General features: G+C 52.2%; 1 protein-coding gene across 7 annotated transcripts in view, besides 5 other annotated features; it reads right to left on the bottom strand.

Moving 5' to 3' along the window:
• Positions 3,135 to 3,364: an enhancer, noted in NCBI's record as "active region_23837". NCBI's record gives its function as "activates an Ori minimal core promoter by ATAC-STARR-seq in GM12878 lymphoblastoid cells {active_cell/tissue: GM12878}" and the evidence as "EXISTENCE:reporter gene assay evidence [ECO:0000049][PMID:35858748]".
• Positions 5,442 to 5,491: an enhancer, noted in NCBI's record as "active region_23836". NCBI's record gives its function as "activates an Ori minimal core promoter by ATAC-STARR-seq in GM12878 lymphoblastoid cells {active_cell/tissue: GM12878}" and the evidence as "EXISTENCE:reporter gene assay evidence [ECO:0000049][PMID:35858748]".
• Positions 7,143 to 7,997: an enhancer, noted in NCBI's record as "H3K27ac-H3K4me1 hESC enhancer chr6:351472-352326 (GRCh37/hg19 assembly coordinates)". NCBI's record gives its function as "activates a minimal SCP1, AML or CMV promoter by ChIP-STARR-seq in naive H9 embryonic stem cells {active_cell/tissue: H9 hESC(naive)}" and the evidence as "EXISTENCE:reporter gene assay evidence [ECO:0000049][PMID:30033119]".
• The window catches only part of DUSP22 (dual specificity phosphatase 22), a 58,869-nt gene continuing 54,258 nt past the window's right edge, over positions 8,114 to 12,724 (bottom strand). For 5 of the 7 annotated variants that reach the window (NR_104473.3, NR_104474.3, NR_104475.3 and 2 more), the window contains 2 exons: positions 11,195 to 11,366; positions 8,114 to 10,700 (listed from right to left, as the gene is read on the bottom strand). Coding sequence is in view for 4 of the 7 variants with exons in the window: in NM_001286555.3 (NP_001273484.1) it covers positions 10,518 to 10,700; positions 11,195 to 11,366 (355 nt within the window). In the remaining 3 variants the exon portion in view is untranslated. The remainder of the gene's footprint in view (positions 10,701 to 11,194; positions 11,367 to 12,724) is intronic. The other 2 variants (NM_020185.6, XM_017011062.2) reach the window with 1 other exon arrangement.
• Positions 11,671 to 11,890: an enhancer, noted in NCBI's record as "active region_23835". NCBI's record gives its function as "activates an Ori minimal core promoter by ATAC-STARR-seq in GM12878 lymphoblastoid cells {active_cell/tissue: GM12878}" and the evidence as "EXISTENCE:reporter gene assay evidence [ECO:0000049][PMID:35858748]".
• Positions 12,441 to 12,490: an enhancer, noted in NCBI's record as "active region_23834". NCBI's record gives its function as "activates an Ori minimal core promoter by ATAC-STARR-seq in GM12878 lymphoblastoid cells {active_cell/tissue: GM12878}" and the evidence as "EXISTENCE:reporter gene assay evidence [ECO:0000049][PMID:35858748]".

The following is a 12,724-nucleotide window of genomic DNA, read 5'->3' as shown; positions in this document are numbered from 1 at the left end:
CTTCTAGTCTCTGGTCTCCCCAGGATAGGTCCTCAGCGTTTGCAAGTGTGATGCCAAGGCCATGCCAGTTCTGGGCCTTTACCTGCAGGCCATTCATGCCCCGGTGCCCTCACCCCTCTTCCCAGACCCCCCTCCTCGCCCAGGGTACCCCCCCCCACCGAGCAGCCCCTGTGGGCCTCTCCGCCCGGTGCACCTCCCTGCCTGCGCTCCAGGCTTCGAGGCTCCACTCTGTTCATGGAATATTCCAGAGTGACTGCCTTCTCTCCCCACCTCCTCCGAACAGAGGCTGCCCAGATTAAATATTCCTTTCCCTCATGGCAATCTGTGTGGTGCCAACCTTGCTCTCACTGTGGGCTGTGGGCACAGCGGCCAATGGGGCCGCAGATGAGGCCACCCCCTCTTCATGGGGGTCTCTTACGAGGACACAGTTCATAGCAGATGCTCCCACGCCCATAACACAGATGACCTTCCCTGGGAGGGGTCGGTTCTCCAGACAGGCTGCCAGGAAAAGCAGAGATCAGTGGGGCACATGGGCAGGAATGCTTCCGAAGCAGGGGGTCACAGGCAAAGCTCCGAATAGCACATTTCTGGAGCACATTGTGTAGGAGAGCAGAGACTCCCCACTCAGACCCCCTTTTAGTGTCAGCTTGTTGACACTCAGATGCTTCTCAGAAGCTGGTAGCACTTCCTCCATCCAATCACTGAGGTGCCAGCCCCACCCATGGCTGAGGGCCAGGGCTGCCTGTGTGAAAGGCAACCACCCGGCTCCGTGCCCACCACCCAGGCCACCCCACACAGACTCTTCCTCGCTGCACTTCTTAAAGCCTGCCTTGCCCAGGGCCTGCCGGCTCCCTCCAGGGTCCAGGTCCTAATGGGCTCAGGTGCTACCATTGCCCAGCCCTGCCCCTCAGCCTCAGGGGTTGGAGGGAGCTCCTGCCAGTCTGGTTGCTCTGACACCCACTGCTGCTTCTCTTGCCTGGTCTTGATGAGCCTCTCTTTGTCTGAGTTCTTCAGACTGGGCTGCTTCCTGCCAGGACCTGGTGCCAGGCTGTGGGAGAGGTCCCGTCTCGGCCACTCTGAACACATAGGGTGCTTTCTTGGACAAGCACAGCAAATCTCTGTGCTTCTGAAGATACCTTGTGGGACATGCAGAGCTCATCTTTCACAGAGATGGAGCATCGAGAACAGAAAGCACCCACCACTGCACACACAGGCAACTCTATATTCCTGCGGGGGGCAACCCAGGGCCCAGGACACCCAGTGCCCAGCCAGTTACTGCAGGCTAAGGCAGAAAGGTCCGGGCAGAGGCGTGCGTGGTTGTCCTGCTGCAACCCTTTGGTTGCAAGAAGCAAGAAGTGAATCTCTGCCACTCCCTACCTTCCCACACTCTACAAGGCCTCTAATCGAATGCACGCCCATCCTCAGGGAAGAACTTCAACACAGTGGCACGTGATTGCTGGCACTGCGTGGGTTTCACCCTCCTCTCGTGATTCCCCCTCAAAGGCACTGGGGTGACTGTAGGCGCACCTTGCCTGTGACTGGGGTCAGGCTGCTTGCATTCCAGTCCTGACCTGGCTGCCTCCTGGCTGTCAGACTAGAGTTCAGTGTCTTCATCTGAAAGCGAGGATCATAGTAAAACCTATCTCACAAGATGGTGGTGAGGACGTGATTTCAAAAGAAAAGGTCCTCTGCCAGTTCTCGCCATGCATCAGCGCCCAATGGCTGTTGGCCGTGCTCAGGTTGACCACCCTGCCATCTAATGGGAGGTCTTTGGGGATAGAAGGGGCCTTCCCAGACACATCAAATGCCACCAGCCAGGGTGCTGTCTGCACCCCTCATCCCTTCTAGGGAGTTTTTTTCATGGCAGTGGAGGGGAAAAGTTCCCCACATGAGTGTGTTGCCTCCTCGGGGACTTCCCCAAGGTATTCCAGAGAATCAGGACCCAACTGAACCTCAGCCAGGCCCGCCTGGCCCCAGCCACTTCAAGACTCTCATCTGCTGATACCACCTCTGCCCCAACCTGTGCTCCTGGTGGTCCTGGGAGCCGGAGGGTCACGGTGACGGGAGGGCCTGGCAAGGCATGGAGCGGGCCTCTTGCTGTGGAAGTGACTTTCCAGGCATGAAATGATGGCAGCCCACCCTTCTGCACCCCTCTCGGCCACACCTGAACCTGCAAACAGCCGCTGTAACAGCCAAGAGTCGGTTCCTCTCCTCTCACACCTTCCTGGCGTTCCCCGTGTCACCACATTGGCCCAGCTTAACACAAAACCCAGGAGAATCCCAGCAGCTGACCCTGGCACATGACAGGCCTCTCCCAGGACACTGGCTCTGAGGAAGCTCTGTGCGGCTGGGCCTGTTGCCATGAAGGGTACACCCTTTGTAAAGCAGAAGGTGACATTTCTTGGGTGCACGTGTTGGAGTCTTCTGATTCTTATTTTCCAAAAAGGCTGCCCATCAGTGTCTGGGGAAACCCAGCGCTGACTGACAAGCAGCAGACCTGCTCACCAGCAAGGTGCACTTCCTGTCTGTGCTGATGGGGCCGCTTCTGGGGGTGGGTGCCCGAGGCCCAGGGCAGAACAATGGACGACGTGCCTCTGCGGGGAGAGAGGGGCCAAGCTTCCTACCACTACTGTGCATCGTGGGGGCTGCTGCGTGGTGATGTGGCTCCTCGGGCCAAGCTGGGAAGGCGGCTCTTGCTGGGATTAGCACTTTTCCAAGCCCTGTCCTCCAAACATTATTCCTTGAAGGAATTATTAACCCAAAAAGCATCCCCCTAACCTCACCCCCATCATCTAGGTTTTTGTTTGTTTGTTTTCCAGACGGAGTTTCACTCTTATTGCGGAGGCTGGAGTGCAATGGTGTGATCTCTGCTCACTGCAACCTCCACTTCCTGGGTTTAAGCGATTCTCCTGCCTCAGCTTCCCAAGTAGCTGGGATTACAGGCACCTGCCACCACGCCCAGCTAATTTTTTGTATTTTTAGTAGAGACAGGGTTTCACCATGATGGCCAGGCTGGTCTTGAACTCCTGACCTCAAGTGATCCACCTACCTCGGCCTCCCAAATTGCTGGGATGACAGGCGTGAGCCACCCCACCCGGCCTATATAGCTTTTAAAATCAGGCCTGTGTACACAGGACATGCACAGAAATGACCCCATCCAAAATGTCTTTTCTGCTAAACCTACCTCTAAACCAATAGCTGCCACTACACGCAATTAGAATATTGAACTCCCTATACTTTCAGGCACCTGCTGAAATAGATCTCTTCCAACATCAAGCTCTAAAAACTGAACTAGAAGCTTCAGGAAGGTTCGCTGTGAACTTCTAACTCTTTATGACCAACAGTTTGCATACAGATTTGGAGCCAAAATAAACCCAAACTTGCAGATGTTCAAACATGCACTGGCAAATCTTTCCCCTGATGGAAAGAAACACATGCAGACCCAGCACTCGCACCCTTCAGTCAGATGGTAATTTAAGCTGGTTAAGTCCAAGCTGCAAGAGAACACTAATTGTGATACTGCAAGTCTCAAAGCAAGCTGTGCCTGAGGGCGGAAGGAGACCCCACTGCTGCATGTAAGAAGGGAATTAAGCCTCCAAGTGACAAGTCAAATGCAGTGTTGTTTTTTTTTCTCCCTTTCTCTGGGCAATGAAAAGGAAAGGGAAGAGGAACTGCCCGCTGCAGTCTTGGTGATTTCTTGTTAAGTACATATATAAATACAAGCGTGTTGAAAGCATATTCTTAATAAAATTATTAATAACTCAGGATGGGAGGAGACATCTGATGTGGGATCACAGGGGTGTGATTCTTAGTGTGTTCCTTATTTTTATGACTAGAGGCTGGTGTGCAGAGCAGCACTGTGACCAGCTCTGGCTGTGCGATGAGGGCTTGGCCATTCCTCGGAGTGCTTTCAGGTGCCTGCTGCTTGAGCTACCTGAATGGCCAGGAACCTGAGCTCAGCACTCTCCGAGATGTTGCACATGTAACTCTCCTGGAAGCTAAGGTGTTCTCTGAAATAAAACTAAAATGATAAAATACACATTGCCCACACATGCACACCCTGGTCAGCAGAATTTACGGCTGTCTTGTGTCCAAATAACATAAGGCAGCTCCAGAAGTTGGAAACAGAATTCTCTGCTGAGACTGAAACTAGAAAGAGCTGGCACCCAATAAACAAAAACAGCCACTAGCAGGAATCCAGGGAAAAGCACAAATGGTGCTGAGGAGATCTGGAAACACTCAAGTTTAAGGAAGGTGATCTGAGAAAAGAATCACCTTGTGCAGGCCAGGCACAGTCGCTCACACCTGTAATCCCAGCATTCTGGGAGGCTGAGGTGGGTGGATCATTTGCGGTTAGGCGTTCGAGACCAGCCTCGCCAACATGGCGAAACCCCGTCTCTATTAAAAATATAAAAATTAGCCAGGCGTGGTAGCACACGCCTGTAGTCCTAGTTACTTGGGAAGCTGAGGCAGGAGAGTCACTTGAACCCGGGAGACAGAGGTCGCAGTGAACCGAGACTGCACCACTGCACTCTGGCCTGGGCAACAGAGTGAGACTCTGTCAGACACACAAAATAATAATCACCATGGGCAGAGAGAACAGGTGTGCAGCAGGGGTCTGCCTGGGGCCCAGGAAAGGCAGCCTCTCAGGAGCAGCAGCCCTGCTCTCACATGTGCCTCATCTGCTGCACCAGCAGCACCCCAGCCCGGAGACACGGCAGGTATGGACAGAGCCTTGGCTACCCAGCTTCAGGTCCTGACCACTCACGCTCACTGCACAATGCCCCAGGACTAAGGTAATCTCCCCAAATCTTGCTAATGACAGAAACAGAGCTAGCCTGACCAGGAGATGACATTAGTCTTTGGAGAGCCAATATTTTATCCTTCACAGTAAAATAGGAAATCGGAAATTTGAATTCAATCTTCATTTTCATGAGTCTGGTCCCTGGGAATGTGTCCTGGATGATGGACAAACATGGTACCTAACCGCAGAGCCAGGTTACACCCAAGCACAGCCCCGCTTGGAGGCCCCTGATCTGGGACCCACCCAGCCCCTTCTGTAGCATCTTCCTTAAACCTTTTTGCAGAGGCATACACACCACACAGTACAGGAAGATGCTGGGACAAAAGAGCCACCGCACTGTTACCAAGGTCCCAGAGAGCAGGCGGGGCACTGGGCCCTCACTCCCCAATATGCAATCAGTCACCAAGAATAGTTGCATGTCCTTCCCCACCCTCCATCAAGTCCATTTGCCTGCTGGGCCCCTCTTCATCTCCACCACCATGACCCGTGGCAGGCTGCTGTTTTTTCTCACCGGCATAGTCCTAGCAGCAGCCTCCTGACTGGCCCCAACATGCAGTCCCACCCCACTTGGGCACCTGCGTGAGCCTTCTGCCTGCACATCCATCATGCGTCCCGCTGGCTCAGCACCCTTCAGCAAGTCCTCCACTCCCCCACCATCTGCAGAATTGCAGCCGCACCACTTACAAGGTTACAAGCTCAGGAGTCAGACCTCTGAGAACATGGTAAGGTGCTGCCCCTCTCAGCCTGCTTAGCTCCAAGGGCTGGCCTAGGAAGTAAACCTGGCTGGTCAGGCTTCGGCTGTGCTCGCAGCCTTGCTGGCACAATCCCAGCACTGCCCAGCCCTGGGGAGGCTGCTCTAGTTCTGCAGTGGCTCTCGTTCCTGACCCCAAGGTCTTTCATGCCTGCTGGCTAGCCCACGTGCTGAGCCTCCACCTGAACTCTCCTTCCTTCCCGCCATGCCCAGCTCATTCCACGGCTTATACTGCAGGTCTTAAATTAGGTACTGCGTTTTCTAAGATACTTCCCTTAAATGTTCCCACCTCCTCAAACTGGAATGTGTCTTTTCACCCCTTTCCCCCATACACGGCACCAGGGACAGCTGTAATAGTCCTTACCATGCTGTCCTGTAAGTCAGCAGTCCCCAACCTTTTTGGTACCAGGAACCAGTTTCGTGGAAGACAATTTTTCCATGGATCACAGTGGGGCAGGGATGGTTTCGAGACGAAACTGTTCCATCTCAGATCACTGGGCACTAATTAGATTATCATAAGGAGCGTGCAACCTAGATCCCTCGCATACGGTTCACGATGGGGTCTGTGCTCCTATGAGCATTTGATGCCACTGCTGATCTGACAGGAAGTGGTCACCTCCTGCTGTGTGGCTCAGCTCCTAACAGGCCATGGACCAGTACTGCTCTGTGACCCAGGGGCTGGGGACCCCTGCTGTGAGTGACAACTTTCCTAACTGCCAACCCCCCCAGGCCACAGTCTTTCTGAGAATCAGGAGTGTGTCTGAGGCCTGGCTGGATCCCATAGCACCTGTTACGATCATTATAAATTTGTCAAGTCAATGAATGAATGAATGAATGAATGAATGGAGAGGCAGCTGACCCAGTTAAGTCTCCTCTGCTTATAGGCTGTGATTCTGAGTTTCAGGCTAGAAAAGATCTGTGTTCAAAGAAATTGAAGAAAAAACAGCATAACGGAAAGTGCCGTGGACCTCAACCCACCTCATTGTACACGTCCAGGTCTTCACGGGGGCTCAGAGGTTGCCAATTCCCATCTCCAGGGTGACCCACAAGGCCTGGCCTGCTTGTGAACAGACCGGGATCTCTGGCTTGTAACATCTAAGATGGTCAATACCATCTCAGCATGGCCCTGAGCTTCCGGACAGAGGTCAGGAATTGACTGCCCCCACTCGATGGCCCAAAACAAACTCCCAGAGACTGGAGGGGGGCAGGCAAGGAGAGCTTCCTGGTGCCAACACTGCTGCCTGAGCCTGGCCCTGCCTCAGTGGAACCCTCCAGAGCCCTGGGCCGGAGCCCATGAGTGACTCTGCTGAGCTCCTCCCAGCTGCTTTCGCCAGCCACAGCTGGCAGCCCCTTGTGCCCTCACTCCTTCCCTCCCTGCCCACTGATTTGGGACCAAAAGATCCAGCAGGTTCCAGTCCCAGCAATGTGGACATCTTCAGGCGCATTCCGAGGTGCATTTCACAGCCCCTCTGAGCCTCGAATGAGTGAAATACCTTCTCTGTCAGTTTAAAAAGCTTAGGGGCAACAGTTCGGGACCTGCAGAGCAGCACGCAATTATGAGATGATGGGTGTTGGTGTCAGATATAAGCCTGCAGTAAGACATGGTAGTGGGGAGTGACATTGGCTGAGAGCTGGGTGACCCTGCAGACTGGGGCTGTTGCATGAAAACCTGTTTTCCTGCTGTGGCTACTGCCTCACACCCCAGGAGACACACACAAGTCTTCCTGGGCTGTGCTGGGGCCTGGCTGCTGCCTCCTGAGTGGGCCCCACAGGAGACACAACCAGGGCTTGCTGGTCTGGCCCATGAAAACACTCAGAGGCACCGAGGACAGAGCCACCTGTGCCATACCAGGCATTCAGAGTGTCCCCTCACGCTCATCGGACTGCTGCAGAGGCTAGAAGCTCAGGAGTCAGACCTCTGGGGACCTGGCAAGGTGCCTTACCTCCCTATGCCTCTCCTGTGGCCCCCAGCCACTCCCCTGAGCTGCTGCCGGGAGCTTCAAGGCATCAGAATCTACATAAAGTCTGCCACCTACAGTCAACCAGCTCATGAGTTCACTTGCCTTTAGATCAACCCAAACTTACCCTAGCAGCGTTAAATTTCCCTTTTCCTCCACCAGATCAGAGAAGGAAAATTTTACAAATTGACTTAAATTTCTCGTCAATTCAGGTGACGTTCCCTCAGATTAAAAGCTGAAGATGGAATGAGAGTAGCTGTGTTCAATGCTGTGCGGCAGATGCACACGGCGCGGCTGGCTGCATGCTCCTGGGCAAACACAACTCGTTCCAGGTGCCGAATACGCCGCTCCCACCGTGCAGGCAAAACAGAACTAACTCTCATGTCCACATTTCCTTCGCCTCACACTCATGGCCTATTTTTCTTTCTTGGAGACATGAATTCACCTTTTGTAGCATCTGCTATAGCGCCTTCTGGAGGCAAACAATAGCCTCTAAAATAAAACCAGGAGTAGGCTTCAGTCTTGCCTTGGAATCCCTCACAGGCAGAAGGGCGCGTGGTGACTGCCCCTTGGCTAGGGAAGAATGCATCGCACGCGACCTTAAACTTGGCTAAGTTGCCCTTTATTAACGAAAACATAGAGCTTTCGGTCAATTCCACCACGGAGAACACAAACCAGAGATAAAACCCACACCAAGGGCTATTTCCCAAGCTGGGGAATTTGAGAACACACGGGCAGAGTTCACGCCACACAACTACACTGGGCTCGTCCTTGGGAGGCGTTCACAGGAAGCAATCACGAGCGCCAAGCCACCCACAAGGCAGTGCGGCAAGGCTCCCGGGATCCTTACAGGCATCCAAGCGAGGTACAGAAACCTCCACAGCAGTGGGGATAAGGGGAAAATATTTTCTCTTGCTAAAGAATATCCTTAGTTCTCAACATAAACATGACTACGTATATATTCAGCTTCAAATGAAAAACAAGTTTACAAATCACTACTGGATACTTAAACTCTATGTTGCTTTTCTTTTTGGCAGCACCAGCCTAAACTCTGTGGGTTTGCAATATTTCAGAAACTTCAGGTACATTACAGTCTTCTGAGAAAGGCCCAGAACTTCAGAATTCCCGGAGCGGCTGTGAAGAAAGAACATTACTGGCAACAAATATTAAAACAACATTTCAAGAACTCCAAGAATACACTGAGAGGTTTGTAAAGGTGCACATATTTAAGCATTCAAGCTATATCCTAAATCATTTTTCTGTTAACGTATTTATTTTTGGCTTAGGAAAAACATGTACTTTATTGGCAAATTGTTTTAGCTGTAGACGGATGGATGATTCTACAGCCACACTCCCCTTTCCGGGTGTACATCCGGGGCCTGTGCACCTGCGCGGAATCAGGCAACTTTGTTTTTCCCGGTCCCCAAAAAGCTCACCTTTGACACACCCTCTATATGCACAGGAAAACTGCTCTTCTTATTCAGGGTCTCTTTTTGTGGTGGAATTCAGAGAAACTGGGTTGCAACATCTTTTTAGGGAGAGGTCGAGTATGTTTTTTCATTCGAGTGACTCTGCATGCTTAAGGAATCTGAGTCGGTATAAAGGACTAGACCACTGAATTGCGTACAGCGTCCCAGGATGCCTGCAGCCCCAGAGTACAAACTGTAGATGCTCTCGTGGCCTGAATGTGGAATTTTACCCACCAGAAAGCATTACTGGAGCCCAAACTGGCAACTTTAAATAGCTCAATGATATCGGTACCTTCCCCTTTGGTTTCAAAAGCAATCATGACCGAACATTTTCAACTGTGAGGCAAAGCTGACTTGCATACCAAAAAACACCTTTCCAAAAACATTCAATGAGGTAGCTCAGATCAATTATCAAACCCAAGTGAATACCAAGAAGCTTAATAAATGCTCAGGCATTTTAAAATGCAAATTGCTACAGTGCCTAATAAATGCTCTTTCTTCCCAATTCTTGCAGGTGCATGCAAATGTTGAGGAGGAGCCCCTGCAAAGTGAGGACAGCGAGAGGCTGGGAGTGAATGAAGCTGGCAAGGAGCAGAGAGGAGGGGGTGCCCTGGGGCACCCAACTTAGGCTAAAGTGCGCCTGCCCACCACAGAGCTCAAGTGCAATCAGCTCCAGAGAACAAACACCAAGTAGAACTCAGGGCTCGATGGGCTGAAAAGTGGCCTTGACTCAAGGCGCTAGGGAACCCTCAGCCTGGTGCATTCACATTGAGATGGAGGCAATCTAAGATACTTCCCTTAAATGCTGAGTTGGTATAAAGTGCTGGCCCACTGGACCAGCTCAGGGCAGTCTCTCACGTTTTCCAGGGCCCCAGAGCCACCCTCCCTCTAGAGGAGTCTGGCCCCTGTTGCCCCCACCACACCACCCTGGGTGGGTTCTGGGAGAGGCCATGCTCTTAGCCACTCGTCCCCTGAGTTCTCACGGTCTGCTCAGAGGCACAGACTGCTCTTTGCTGGGTAGCTTTTCGGAGGTCGAGCTCAAATGCCTTCCATGTGGAGTCTTGGACAAAGGGAAAGGTGGCCACACCAACCCGGGCAGCAATATGAATTCTGTGACTTCCAGCAGTAAGAAAGAGTTCACACACACACAAACATTCATGTGCACAGACACTTTCACAACATACACACATGTACACACTTAGGTGCACATACCCTCACTCACACAGGCACACACATGCATCCACTTAGTCACCCACACACAAGTGCACTCACACACACGCACGTGCACAGAGCAGTGCACAGCCACTGGGCAACATCCCCAGGGGCAGCAAGCTCAGGTGCAGCCAGGGTAGGGGTGGGCGGAGTGCAGGGGCCTGGAGCAGGGCTGGGCGGTGTTGCTTGGGGGAAGGAGCCCTCGCCCCACCTCGCCCTGGCTATCTCCCTTTCCTGTCCTCATCGGCCACCACCACCGCACCCCTGCCCAGCCGGGCACACTGAAGACAAGCAGTGGGAAGGAAGGCAGCAGGTCGCTTGCGTTAGGTCTCCGTCGTATAATTATCGTAGGTCAGCGGAGCCAGTGCCGGAAAACTGCTCCACCGCCTGGCGCCGGGCTGGGGCTCTGTGCGCCCTTGCTCCTTATATTTACCCAGAATGTTTTTGGCTTCTTCTGCATCCTGCAAAGGGCTCTCTCCATATTCTTCCTTCAGCCACTGCCGATACTGGAGAGGATGGAAACAAACCCGAAACGTCACACACATGTGCACGTCTGCATCCACGTGGGCTTGCACCTGTGACTTCACCACAGAGATGGTGCCACACATAACCAGGGAAACAAACAGCAGTGGGAAATCAGAGCTCTGTGGTTGGCCAGCCAGGGTCAAGCAAGAGAAGGAACTGCTCCTTCAAGGTGCTGGCCTAGGACATGAAAATAGGCCAGACCAAGGAAATGGTACGTCACCCAAAGGGAGAGAAACAAACTAGTAGGGAGTACCAGGCACAAGGAGAATGACAAAGGGTAGGCGCCTGTGGCTTCAACAGGTGCACGAGGGATCGTGACGACTTCTGAAGGGGTGCAGCTGGGCGCCCTGGGAGCCGATGTCCTCTGTGGGCCTTTCAACTCCAAACGCCATGATGCTGGCTGTGTACGGAAAGACTGTGGGCACCGTTCAGGGGCACCTGCCTGCATCTCTGATGTCCCCTAAGAACTGCTTACCTGATGGACCTCATGCTTCTCAAACTCCTGGAGCTGTCTCTGGAAGCCCACGTTGGGGTTGGCACAGGATCTCCCAGCACGCACGGTGTGCAGGGCATCCTCCCAGCCAAAGTCAGTGACGGTCATGATGTATGCGATCACCAGTGTCACGCTCCTGGAGACCCCGGCCAGGCTGCGGGGCCAAGAGAAGCACATGTGTGAGGGCAGTTTCAGATCTCCGGGTTCATCGCCCAATCCATGTGGAGCGGGGGACTCTAAGGACCTTGTTCAGAAAGTCTTCCTGCCTTGGATTATATGTGGACAGCAAGCTCGCCACCAGGAAGCCACTCAGCACTCAACGTACCAGCTCCCTATGCTTCCTGGCACTAGAATCGCATGCTTTCTTCTGCTGTTTGAGCTTCTTTTATTGGTTTTCTATGGGCTGTGGCTCCAGATGCTCCCTTGCTCCTCAGCCCCTCCTCAGGTCTTTCCCATTTCCCCGGACAAACGACATAACTGAGGTACTCCAAGGAAACGAGGCTTCCAGGGCCTACGCGACAAACCCATTTATAACCTACATTTGTTTAGAATGCTTCATGTTCCTTAAAAGTCGAGTTTTCTCAGCTATATGAGGGCTAGATCTATAATTTTTAAAGCCCATGATGTAGAGAAGCCCTTACCCAATCTTACTTTTGTACTCTTCCTGACATAAATATGCAGAGTACAGAGCAGGCACACTGTGTCCGCAGGGTGGGAGCAAGGCACCCTTGCAGGCAGTAACGGTTAGGGTCAGTTACCTGGAGCAGGCTGAGTGAGACCCGTTTTACATGTACATGCAAATGAAGGCGGTCACAGAATGGCTGTGCTTCATCAGACTTAGAGAGTTCTAGCAACAGGTTAAGATGGGGAAGTTCAGCAAATGTCTCACTTTTAGAAAAGCCTATCTTTAGGTGCACAGAACTGTATGAAGTATTAATTCCTAGAATATCAGGCCTACACATATTCAAATATAAACAATAATTTTAAAACCCCACTCTCAAGTAGTGGCTCTTCACTAGGGCTTTAGATTAGAACTACCAGGAGAGATCTTAAAAGACAGATCCTCTGGGGCTGCAACCCTGGAGATTCACCTTCACTAGGAGCCAGGAGAAGCCCAGGAGTGGGAGTTCCAGAATTCCGCTTTAATTGGCTCCAATTGAACCCCCAAGGTATGTTAAAGCCAAACAGAAATGAACGTTAAAATCCTACCATTTGTATTTATTACACTTTCTACTCTTTAAAAAAGTGAGATGAAAAATCATGTGATTTCAAGAACTGTATGAAACTGCAGACACCATTCTAAAAACAACTCAACTATCTAGCGTCCTCCCTGTCGTCCCTATCGGCCCTCAGAACACATTATAGTTTTCATAGGTGGCTTCTCTGGATGTCATGCACTGGGTCCCTGGGTCCCCTCTGTCCTGGCAGGGCTGCCACCAACCTCAGCAGCAATATTCCCCAGGAGTTATCACTTCACAGTCCTAAAGAGCTTACAGTGCAAGAGGAACTGTT

Source organism: Homo sapiens, chromosome 6, assembly GCF_000001405.40.
Source record: "Homo sapiens chromosome 6, GRCh38.p14 Primary Assembly".
NCBI lineage: Eukaryota > Metazoa > Chordata > Mammalia > Primates > Hominidae > Homo > Homo sapiens.
The sequence above is the reverse complement of the archived record's forward strand: the minus strand, read 5'-3'. Positions and strand labels throughout refer to the sequence as shown.